Source organism: Homo sapiens, chromosome 10 (assembly GCF_000001405.40).
Source record: "Homo sapiens chromosome 10, GRCh38.p14 Primary Assembly".
NCBI classification, from domain to species: Eukaryota; Metazoa; Chordata; class Mammalia; order Primates; family Hominidae; genus Homo; species Homo sapiens.
The window spans coordinates 99497060-99510276 of NC_000010.11; the positions used below are offsets into that span (position 1 = coordinate 99497060).

Here is a 13217-nt window from a genome sequence, read left to right on the forward strand (position 1 = left end):
GGCCATTTGTTACAGCAGCCACAGGAAACCAACACAGAGTGCTCATTTTATCCAGAGGCTCCTTTATAGCACAGTAGGATCTTCAAGGAAATCAGGGGAGCAAGGATGCTTTAGGGATAAACAGCTGTTAAGACTCTTTGGAGAAAACACATTTTGGTACCTCTCTTAACCACAGGGAGAATCCAGTTAAACTTTCTTTTGCCCTGGGTTTGGAGGGAAAGGAAGGAGCTGGTGATCCCAATCTATTTGCAGCAATGCAAGAGTCAATAGCCAAAATGGTCATTTTTTGCAGTTTTTTAAAACAATAGAGTTTGTTATTTCTTTTCCAAATGCATCAGCAGGACCAGTGGAGAAGGTCTGGAAAGCAATAGCTAAGATTAGCTCCCAAGCTCCCACTGAGACCTTGAGTGGCTGTCAGCTCTGCAGGGAACAGCAGCAAACCCTCACGCAAATGGCCTATAAAAAAGGCCTTGTCAGAGGCACCTTGACCTGCCAGGGCTTCTCTGGTACTCTGATTCCCAGCGGCCCTCCCAGGGTTATGCTCCCTTGCATGATGTATTTCCCCTGCCTTTTTTAGAGCTGCATTATGCTTGCTCCAGGAAACAGCCTCTTCCTTCTCATAAACACAGCCTTGAGTTTCTGACCAAGCACCCTGCCACTCTGTGGCTCCTTGTCCATCCATCACACCTTGCTGTCACCCTGGCCGCGATTGTGAAGAACTGGTCCAACTCCAGAAGTGAAGTCAGGGTGGGGAGAAGGAAGGGGCAAGCCATGGGAGCAGCCGAGGTCACACACACCCCAATTCCAGCCCACTGATGAATTCCTTGGAAGCTGGCTGGACTGCACAGTGAGCAAGCCTTTCCGATGACCCAGCAAGTATGTTGGAAAGGTCTTGATAAGGTCACCACCAGAGCTAGGCTTGGCATTTCCACTCCCTCAGCTGCATGTGCAGAGCTCAGGGATAGGCTAGATCAAAGATGCCAGGGAGAGACTGAATCCTGAAAAGAGTGTGTACCCATGTAAGAGAAGGGAGACATAGTGAAAAACCCTGGTTCCTTATAAGCGGTATTATAGATATAGCTAAGGATGAGATTTGAAGGGTCAACATGACCCACCCACAACATATATGCTCCATTGGCTCTGGTAGTGCACCTGGAATTCCCATTAATGGTTTAAAAAGAGCTAACATGTATTGAATGCTGAACATGTGCCAGGCACTTTTCTCAGTGTCTCATTCAATCCTCTCCCTCATCCTATCAGGTAGGTATCATTACTGCCTCATTTTACAGATGAGGAAATTGAGGTATGCTGTATAAGTTATGAACGGTCACAAAGCCAGTAAGTGGTAGAACTGAGATTCAAACCCTGCAGCAACCCAGTGTCCACACTGTTTACCATCATGCTATCCTGCTTCTCAGGAGCAGCCAAAACATTAAAAACAGGACAATTGATGCAGATATTATCTAGGAGTGTGAATATCAAAAAGTTATTTCCTCTGCTGCTCCCAACACTTGCCCCTTCCTTCTCTCCCCCATGGGGAGAGAACTTATCCAATTCTCCTCTCTGGAGTTGGATAAGTTCTCCATAATCACAGAGAGGAACATGGAGGAAGCCCTCCAGAATACTAGAAATGTTCTATATCAGGGTCTGGATATTGGTTATACAGTATATATTGTGTAAAAATTCATCAAGCTGTGCACTTAAGATTTGTGTACTTTCCTGTATGTGCATAGTATATCTTAATTAAACATACAAACACACAGTCTCCCTCATTCTCCCTTCTCCTCTCCATTCCCTTCGCATTATTGCCAGGGCCTTCCTTATGAAATTTTGAATCACGCAGCTATTTAGGTAATTGGGCGGTAGAGGGCAAAGAGTATTGTAACCTTTGTCAATGTTTTTATTTAGGAAGAAGGAAGTTTGAAGGAACTACAACAGATTTGGTGCAATATGTACCTGCAAGAGAATGGAAGCTAGGGCTTGGAGCAGCAGAGAGAGAGGAGTGTATGTCCCACTGCCTTGCCATGGTCAGGGGCTGATCACCCCTGTGGAGGCGCATAAGGTGATGGAGTGATATATTATTTTATCCATACTGCACCCCTTTCATAATCCTTCAACCTGATTTTCCCCAAAAACACTCAGTGCAAAACATGCTTTCAGCTCTTATCACATCTAATGGCCTTTTCTCTCAGTTGTCATCCTCCTTGATGTCCTGTAACCATAGGCCTTTTTTTTTTTTTTTTTGAGGCGGAGTTTTGCTCTTGTTGCCCAGGCTAGTGGGCAATGGTGTGATCTTGGCTCACCGCAACCTCTGCCTCCTGGGTTCAAGTGATTCTCCTGCCTCAGCCTCCTGAGTAGCTGGGATTACAGGCGTGTGCCACCACGCCCGGCTAATTTTTGTATTTTTAGTAGAGACAGGGTTTCACCATATTGGTTAGGCTGGTCTGGAACTCCTGACCTTGTGATCCGCCTGCCTCAGCCGGGCCACCTTTGGTCTTTTGACCAAGCCCTGCCTTCTTTGGTGGGACTCTTCATCTGACTTTGGTGGTACTACACTATCCTCTCATTCTCTCTCTCCAGTGCTTCTTCTCTGTCTCCTTCATTTGTCACTTCCTTCTTCTGATGACCCTAAACATGACTCTACGTTAAGACTTCATCCTTACCGGGTGCGGTGGCTCACGCCTGTAATCCCAGCACTTTGGGAGGCCCAGGCAGGTGGATCACCTGAGGTCAGAAGTTCGAGACCAACCTGGCCAACATGGTGAAACCCCGTCTCTACTAAAAATACAAAAAAAATAGCTGGGTGTGGTGGTGAGTGCCTGTAATCCCAGCTACTTGGGAGGCTGAGGCATGAGAATTGCATGAACCTGGGAGGTGGAGGTTACAGTGAGCCGAGATTGCGCCATTGCACTCCAGCCTGGGTGACCCAGTGAGACTGCTTCTCAAAAAGAAAAGAAAAGAAAAAAAGACTTCATCCTTGGCCTCTCCACATCTTACTCTCAATTCTGTCTCTATTCATCTCCTGCCATGGCCTTTACCTACCATCACCTCTATCTCAATGAGTCCTAACTCTACAGTTAGGACTCATTATAGATAATATATTATATTATCTATTATCCTATTATTATAGATATTTTTTCTGAACTGTAATCCTGCTTCTCCAAGTGACAACTCAACACCTCTATCTAGAGGTTTTTCCAAAAGCAGCATGTGAAATGGATGGGAAGCAGCATGCCACTTCCCCATAATCAGCTCCAAGCCTGAATTCTTCCTTTCATCCCAGCTCAAACCTTGGCATCTTCCCTGATGCTTCTTCCTCTTTTCCAATGTCCAGTAAATCCCTACATCCCATAGCTCTTTCTTTGCAAGATCTCCCCAACCAGTTCTTTCTCCAAGGCAGATCCTCATCAGCTCATCTCAAACTCCTGGTAGGGTAGGCAGGGAGACTGGAGTCTTTGAAAAGGTAGTTCCTTACCCAAATACCTTCCTCCAAAGCCCAAAATTCCACATCATCAAATCATCATATTGTGTAAAGTACCACCATCTCCTGCAGTCTTCTTTTAAGATGCAAAATTCTTAGGAGGAAGGACGTGGTTTTAAAGTAAGAAGACAAGTTTGAATCCCAACTCTGTTCTTTAGTGTGTCGCCTTTCAGCAAGTCCTGAGCTTCGTGGAACCTTTGTTTTCTGGTATTTAAAACAAGGATATTAATTCTTCCCTAGCTACCTCACAGCTAATGTTGCTTTGAAGAGAAATTTTAAAAGACCTATGAGCTCTTCAATATGTATTATTTGGTTATGTTCCCAGCAACTTTGTGTAAATGGTTTTGCTGGTTCTCTAAGAGAAAGGACAAGGGTGCTTGGTATTGAAGGATAAGGAACCTGCCTGGTTCTGCTGGTTTGCCTCAGAGCAGCCCTGTAACTCTATCACATAATTACATGTATGTATAATACATATCTATAATTATATGTATATGTACATATAAAATACATATATTATATAATATGTATATTATATATGTAATGTCATCTTAGAATGACATCTAAGATTATTTTTAAAAATAAACAAATTACACCTATTAGATATATGCATAATTATATATTATATAACATAATCACATATATGTATATAATCACTTGTAATGGTATCAGATTATGAAGAGAACTGAGGAATAGTGGTCTACTAAAATCTAGAAATATCTGTAAATATATTTAGGTAAAATGTGGTAGTTGGAAAGTGTGTTAAAATACTCAGCAAAGACAAAGATGAAATGAAATGGAAAAATGTTAATAATTTTTAAATCTAGGTAGTGGATATGTGGATGCTCATTATGATGCTCTATCTACTTTTACATGTTTCAAAATTTGTATAATAAAAATCTGAATATATTAAAGACAGAAGTAATTAAAAATATTAAAATATTCATCATATGCTATTAACTTTTAAAATAAGCTATGAAACAATAAATAGAGTACGTTACCATACTTGTACCAAAAAAAAAAAAAAGGAAGAAAAGGAATATAAATTGTAGCACTGGCAGTAAACACCCACCAAGTTATCACTTTGTTATTGCTGGGTGGGATTGTGATTTTTAAAAATCATCTTATTTTGCTTTTCCTATTTTGTAATTTTTATCAGATAATTATTTGCTTTTTGTTTAAATTGCAGAAAATGCTATCTAAAATTCAATAAATAACACCTATTAGATGAATATTTCAGAGACTGAGGATAACCTGTCTTGGTGAAACTATGAAAAAAACAGGCACTTCCATTCCTATTTGATGAGAATGTAAACTATTATAATCTTTTTAGTGAGTAAATTGGCAATAACTATTAAAATTCTAAATGTTTGCTGGGCACGGTGGCTCACACCTGTAATCCCAACACTTTGGGAGGACGAGGCAGGTGGATCACGAGGTCAGGAGTTCGAGACCAGCCTGGCCAACATAGCGAAACCCCGTCTCTACTAAAAATGCAAAAAATTAGCTGGGCGTGGTGGTGGGCACCTGTAATCCCACCTACTCGGGAGGCTGAGGCAGGAGAATCGCTTGAACCAGGGAGGCAGAGGTTGCAGTGAGCCGAGATCATGCCACTGCACTCCAGCCTGGGCAACAGGGCGAGACTTCATCTCAAAAAAGATTCTAAATATTTATGTCCTATTTTTCAGAAATAAATAAAAGAAGAAAGAAAGAAAATAAAGCCCCAAAAAGAAAAAGTGGAGATGAAATAACCCAGGGGGTCATCGATAATGGACTGGCTGAATCCATCATGGTTCATCCATACAGTGGACTATTATGCAGAAGTATGTGAGGCAACAGTAAGTGGTATTTGGTGGGGAGGTAGGTGCAGAAACCTTGTATAAAATGCTACCATTTGTGCAAAAGGTAAAAAGGAAGAAAAAAGGAATATGTGCTTATTGTATGTGGATAAAATGTTTCTGAAAGATACATTTTAAAAACTGATAACATTGGTGGACTCTAGAGAAGGAAACTGGGGGGCTGGGTATGTGGGAAAATTAGGATACTTACACATTTTGAAATTAGAAAAACATGAATTTAATGCCCATTCATATAAATATAATTACAATTAAATACAAAATACAAAAATAGGGTTACAGCTCTTTTAGAATTTGTCTAGCAGATTTTCCAGTAAAAAAAAAAAAATACAAAATATGCTAAAACAAAAAAGGGAGGGTATGGCATCAGGTAAGTACATTTCCAAATGAGTGCAATTACAAGAGAAAGAACAACCAGAATGACATCTAAGATCATCTTAAAAGCCTCTGGTTCCTTTTTTTTTTTTTTTTTTTTTTTTTTTTTTTACCATGATTCTACCAATCGAGGCTGCTAGAAGTATTATAACAATAGGTTTTACTATTTGCCCCATGGCACAGGTTTTAATGATGGGTTTGGAAATCAGGGTTCTAGCCTTGCGTTACCCATGGTAGCGCAATGGGAGATGACGGGTTTCTCCATCATTCTTCCTTATAATCATGCTTCGACTCTCCCCTCCAGGACCAAGCCTTTTCCAAATACTCAGAACTTTACTGAAAGGGGCAAAACCTGATGAGGCAACTTGTATACAGTTTGCTTTGGTGCCTGTGTGAGTACATAATCCATTGGGCAGATCACCTGTTAACGTCTCCTTTCCTTCAAGATCCCAGACTTCTGGGGTCCCCCTCTCCTCTTGGGAGTTGTGTACTTAAGGCTCTGGAGCTAGCTGTCCTTAGGCCAGGCAAACACAAAGCTCAGAGAATGCCATCTGGAGCAAATATAGGCTGATTGGCTTGGGGGTTTTTCTGCACATGTGTCATCTTGATTAGCCCCAAGGTGCCTTCCAATTCTAACATTCTGCTGTTCTAGAAATCCAGGATTTCCTCTATTACCCCAAGTGACTGAAAAGTTAGCTGAACAGCTAGACATACATAATGTCCTTGATTTTTGCAGCTTCTTACATAGGTCTGGCTCTTTTCTGAAATAAAAATTTTATGTTAGGATCCAGAATTTAACCTCACACCACAGCCCTACCTTTGTTTGTTTGTTTGCTATTTAGTTTTTTTCACCTCCCAATTATAAGACAAGGTAGAAGTAATAGAATCAAGAAGCTGAATTCCAAGCTAGCAATGGGGAAAGCTGAGAGCCAGTCCAATGTGTACCATAGAATCCTCAAAGTCTCAGAACAAGCTGCATCAGGCATGAAAAATGGAAGATGCCTCCCTGAGAATTTGACCAGACCAAGAGGAAATACCTACAGATTCTGACATTGAACGTTATGCAACAAACAGCTCACCCAAATCACAATACAGTGAGGCTCAGAGTCAGAAGTCCCACTCTTCTTCGAGGTTCCCATCAGCACATTTAGATCAGATCTTAATCAGAAGTCTACATACATCCAAGTAGCACGAGACATCCAAGGAAAGCCATTATCATGAAATACAAAGATTAAAAAAAGTCAAATGTAACTTGAAAGATACAGCAATTATGCAGAGAGAAGAAAACAAAACTATCAATATTACCTTAAGAGAAAGAAGATATTGCAACCAGGAAACAGGAACAGAATGTTGTGTTTCAACAAAGTAGCATTCAGAGAACAAAATAAAGAGGAGCTCATAAAATTAAAAACATGAAAGCAACAATGAAAAACTCAGCTATTGAATAGTATACTACATAGAAAGTCTTCCGGAAAGTTAAGCAAAAAGTCAAAGAGGTTAAAAAAAATGACAAAATAAGAAAAAAGAAAGGCCACCCCAAAAGACCCAATATCCAAATAATTGAAGAGGAAAATAAAAAAATAGAGGGGACAAAAACCAATAAAATAACCTGAAAACATTTAGCAAACCGAGGGACATGAATTGATAAGCAGAAAGGATCCCCCAAGTGCTTAACACAACAGATGAAAATAGACCCACAGGATGGCACATTATGGTGGAATTTCACAATATTGAGGGGAAAGAAAGCTTCTACAAGAGTCCAGAGAAAGCAAAGGTGATTTAGGGAAGATTAGGACTTCTCAACACTTAACATGGGAAGCTAGAAGACCATGGAACAATGTTTTCAGCCTGTAATCCCAGTACTTTGGGAGGCTGAGGCAGGAGGATCTCTTGAGGCCAAAAGTTTGAGAACAGCCTGGTTAACATAGTGAGACCCTATCTCTAAAAAGAAAAGAATTTAAAAAGGGGAAAGGCTGGGCGCGGTGGCTCACGCCTGTAATCCCGGCATTTTGGAAGGCCAAGGCGGGCGGATCATGAGGTCAGGAGTTTGAGAATATCCTGGCCAACATGGTGAAACCCAGTCTCTACTAAAAATACAAAAATTAGCTGGGCGTGGTGGCGCGCCTGTAGTCCCAGCTACTCGGGAGGCTGAGGCAGGAGAATTGCTTGAACCCGGGAGGTGGAGGTTGCAGTGAGCCAAGATCGTGACACTGCACTCCAGCCTGGTGACAGAATGAGACTCTGTCTAAAAATAAATAAATAAATAAATAAATAATACATACATACATACATACATACATACATACATACATACATACATACATAAAAAATCACCCAGGCATAGTGGTGTGCACCTGTAGTCCCAGCTACTCGGGAGGCTGAGGCACGAGAATTGCTTGAACCCAGGAGGCGGAGGTTGCAGTGAGTGGAGATCGTGCCACTACACTCCAGCCTGGTGACAGAGCAAGACTCTGTCTCAAAAAAAGGGGAGACAGACAGATTTCCAAATAATGAAGAAAAATCATTTTCCAAACAAAAATTCTAGATCTAGACAATCCATCTACTAAAGATGAGGGTAGAATAAAAGTAATTCTAAGCTATTCAGGGTCTTAGATTGTTGATATCCCATGTATCCTCCCTTTTTCAAAAAGCTCTTGGAAGCAGTGTTCCTACGAAATAAGGCAGTAATCATGAAAAGAATGTGGGACACAGGAAAGCAGTGAGCCAGCATCGGAGAGGGGTAAAGGCAGTCCCGAAGAGACTGATGGAGAGTCTAAAAGAACAGTTTTGTTCCCATGAAGAGGGGTCTTGCCCATTGTCTCGTCCAAGATGGTGCAGGTAAACTCTCGGGAAAGCTACAGCAGGACTATGACTCCGAGGCTCTGTTCACCTTATCTCCTCCATAGCTCCATCATCTAATAGTGACAATATTGTTCTTTTCATAGGCAGCTAGATTTATGTTTGAGACTCAGGTTTTTTCCCGAGAACTTTGGCAATAGGGTGTTTAGAGAGACACAGATTGAAAAATTCTAAGGAAATAGACAACACAATAATATCTGGGGGTAAAGGAAGGCACACTATGAAAGAAGGGAACTTCCAAGTCCCAGCAATGGTTTATTTCTCTACCTGGGTGGTAAGTTATGTGTTTATATTCTCGTTGTTATTAAAACTGAGCATATGTTTTATATACTCCTTTCTATTTAGTACACACATACGCACAATAACTACATAGAAGAAAAAATCCATACTCTTAATACCTAGTCACAGGTATTAACATTTTCAAGTATTTCCTTTCATCTTTTTTCTGTGTACTTGACATAACTGAGATGATACTGTGCATACATTTTTGCTATGTTCTTTTTTTTGAGACGGAGTCTTGCTGTGTTGCCCAGGCTGGAGTGCAGTGGCGCAATCTCGGCTCACTGTAAGCTCCGCCCCCTGGGTTCATGCCATTCTCCTGCCTCAGCCTCCCGAGTAGCTGGGACTACAGGTACCTGCCACCACGCCCAGCTAATTTTTTTTGTATTCTTAATAGAGGCGGAGTTTCACAGTGTTCGCCAGGATGGTCTCGATCTCCTAACCTCGTGATCCGCCTGCCTCGGCTTCCCAAAGTACTGGGATTACAGGCATGAGCCACCGCGCCCGGCCTGATATATTCTTTTGTGAGAACTGTTTAACATAAGCATCTTACGTTAAATTATTTGCATACTTATCATTTTAGGAACCATGTAATATTGCATTGAAACCCTTCCCTATTTCAAAGAGTATGACTCTGGGGAATGACATGACTGAATCTTTGTGTTGGTAACAGCTTGTATGTGAAAATGCTTGCAGGGAAATTCAGAATGTCTTCTCACCACCTCATCACCCTGTCAAAACCACACACTTCCTTGAAGGTCCAGTTCAAACCCCACCTCCTCCATGAATCATTCCCTGACCTCTGCAGAGAAGCCCTCTCCTCTAACCTTCCAGAATCCAGAGTTCTTGTCTACTCTGGCTTTTTTTTTTTTTTTCCAAGACAGGGTCTCACTCTGTTGCCCTGGCTGGAGTGCAGTGGTGTGATCATGGCTCACTGCAACCTCCACCTTCTGGGCTCAGGTGATCCTTCTACTTCAGCCTCCAGAGTAGCTGGGATTACAGGTGTGTGCTTCCATGCCTGACTAATTTTTGTGTTTTTTTGTAAGGATGGGGTTTCACTATGTTGACCAGGCTAGTCTCAAACTCCTGGGCTCAAGAGATTCACCTACCTAGGTCTCCCAGAGTGCTGGGATTACAGGTGTCAGCCACCATGCCAGGCCAGCTACTCTGCCTCTTTTTAAAGCTTTTTATGTGCTCATTTCTTTTCTCTCTGGTACACTATAAGTTCCTGGGAACAGAAATCTGTCTCTAGAGGGGCCGGAATATACTAAGTGCACCATAACTAACAAGTAAATAAATTTGGAAGGCTGTTTTTTTATTTGCTTTAATATCCTGCATTGCAAATAGTGTATATGATTAGGTCATTTATGAGATTTCACTCAAATTGAAGGTTCTCAAGTGGAAACATTCTGCTTGTTCATAATTATCACATTCAGAAACTAGGAGTATGACCACTCCTGTTCTCTCTGATAATGGATTTTATATTTGCTTTGAGGGCTGGATTAAGCAATGGTTGAGTTCTAAAAATAACATTTATGTTTTTTGAGGGCCTATTACATGCCAGATACCAGCCCAAGAAGTTTTCATGCATCTGTAATTTAGTTCCTACAGTAACACTATAAGGTAAACCACTGAGTTTTCTCATTTTACAGCTGAGGAAATGAAGTCATCTGCAGGGAGTCAACTAGGTTGTACATGGAGGAATTAGAACTCCAACTCAGCTACACATGATTCTCATATTTCTCACTTCTGAGCAAGGCTGCCTCCTCAGATATAAAAGTATAAAATCTAGGATTTGGCTTCCAACTCTCAGTTCCATATTGAAAATCATTCTCCATCAAATGGCTGACACTTGTGAATATATATTTTATTGATAAATACAAAGAATGTTAGATAATATTTAGAAGAGAAATAAGAAAGAAATCCACAGTTTCACCACCTAACAATTACTGTTATTTTAGAGTGTTCTCTTCCAGTCTTTCCCCATATGTATACCTTTAAAAAGAAAAAAATAGGCCAGGCCTGGTGGCTCATGCCTGTAATCCCAGCACTTTGGGAGGCCAAGGTGGGCAGATCACCTGAGGTCAGGAGTTCGAGACCAGCCTGGCCAACATGGTGAAACCCCATCTCTACTAAAAATACAAAAAATTAGCCGAACGTGGTGGCAGGTGCCTGTAATCCCAGCTACTCAGGAGGCGGATGCAGGAGAATCGCTTGAACCTGGGGTACGGAAGTTGCAGTGAGCCAAGATTGCATCATTGCACTCCAGCCTGGGCAACAAGAGTGAAACGCTGTAAAAGAAAGAAAGAGAGAAAGAGAGAAGGAGAGAAAGAAAGAAAAAGAAAGAAAGAAAGAAAGAAAGAAAGAAAGAAAGAAAGAAAGAAAGGAAGGAAGAAAGAAAGGAAGGAAGGAAGAAAGTGGGAGGGAGGGAGGGAAGGAAGGAAGGAAAGACAGAAAGAAAGAAAAGAAAGAAAAAACGAAAGAACGAAAGAAAGAAAGAAAGAAAGAAAGAAAGAAAGAAAGAAAGAAAGAAAGAAAGAAAGAAAGAAATATCCTCAGATAGTTGTGTGTGTGCTTTTAAGCAGAAGAGTCTGCTTAGTGGTAGGGTGAAGACAAGGGTAGCACTGAAGACAAACTTCAGCTATTCTACCACCTGGGGCTCATCTGACATCAGATAGAAACATGAAAACATAACAAAGATTAAAGGGCAATTAACACAGATCTGATTGCCTGCACCTAGATGGCTTGTGTGTAGCAGGGGCTCCTGGATGAGAAGGGGGCAGAAGTTAATAGAGCTGACTCGTGCCTTGAGTGTCATGTCTTATGTATTCAGCTGCTGACTAAGCAGCAGAGTGTAATATAGCTTACTAGAAAAAGTTGACCTTTAGCTGCATTCTTAATTCTTAACTTTTCAGTTATTGAAAGCCCATTTTTCTGGTAAAGACATCAGGGAAATCCTTTTGCCCCATCCTCCTCCTTCTCCCACTCCCTGATAGGCAGAAGAGTGGTTTCCAAAGATGCCACACCCTAATCTCTGGAAGATGTGAATATTTTACCTTACATAGCAAAATTTTGCACTGTGATTAGGAGTACTGACCTTGATATGAGGAAATTAACCTGGATTACCCAGGCGAACTCAATTCAATCACATCAATTTTTTTTTCTTTTTTTTCTTTTCTTTTTTTTTTTTTTTTCAGATAGAGTCTCACTCTGTTGCCCATGCTGGAGTGCAGTGGTGCAGTCTTGGCTCACTGCAACCTCTGCCTCCCGGGTTCAAGCAATTCTCCTGCCTCAGCCTCCCAAGTAGCTGAGATTACAGGCACCCGCCACCACACCTGGCTAATTTTTGTATTTTTAGTAGAGACGGGGGTTTCACCATGTTGGCCAGGCTGGTCTCAAACTCCTGACCTCAGGTGATCCACCCGCCTCAGCTTCAAGTGCTGGGATTATGGTCATGAGCCACCATGCACAACCACATCAATTCTTAAAAGCAACGAACTTTTCCAATCTGTGGTCACAGAGAGATGTGACTACATAAGGTCAGAGAGAGAACCACAGAGATGGCAGCATGAGGACTTGGCCTATCATGGCTGGCTTTGAAGATGGAGGCAGGGGGCTACCAGCCAAGGAATGTGGGTAGCCTCCAGAAGCTGGAAAATTCAAAGAAATGGATTCTTCCCTAGAGCATCCAGAAAAGCTTATACCTTGATTTTAGCCATGTGAGATCTGTGTCAGATTTCTGACCTACAGAATTGTAAAATTAAAAATTTGCATTTCCAACAGATGAAAGACAGAAGAAATTGTGTTCTGTACAGCAAAAGAACCATTAACAAAGTGAACAGACCTCACACAATGGGAGAAAATATTTGCAAACTATCTATCTGACAATGGATTAATAATCAGAAGATACAAGGAGCTCAAACAACTCAATGGGAAAAAATTTAATTACCAATTTTTTAAATGAGCAAAAGGTCTGAAGAGACATTTCTTTTTTTTTTTTTTTTGAGATGGAGTTTTGCTTTTGTCGCCCAGGCTGGACTGCAATGGTATGATCTCGGCTCACTGCAAACTCCGCCTCCCAGGTTCAAGTGATTCTCCTGCCTCAGCCTCCCCAGTAGCCAGGATTACAGGCTTCTGCCACCACGCCCAGCTAATTTTTTTATTTTTAGTAGAGACAGGGTTTCACCATATTGGCCAGGCTGGTCACGAACTCCTGACCGCAGGTGATCTACCCACCTTGGCCTCCCAAACTGCTGGGATTCTTAAAAGAAGACATATAAATAGCAAACAGGCATATGAAAAGGTGCTCAACATCATTGATCATCAGAGAAATGCAAATCAAAACTATAATGAGATATAATTTCACCCCA

At 41.4% G+C, this 13217-nt stretch overlaps 1 pseudogene; it reads left to right on the top strand.

The window, feature by feature from the left end:
• The first annotated feature begins 5605 nt into the window (after positions 1–5605).
• On the top strand, positions 5606–5648 carry LOC124902570 (uncharacterized; annotated as a pseudogene).
• The last annotated feature ends 7569 nt before the right edge of the window (positions 5649–13217 follow it).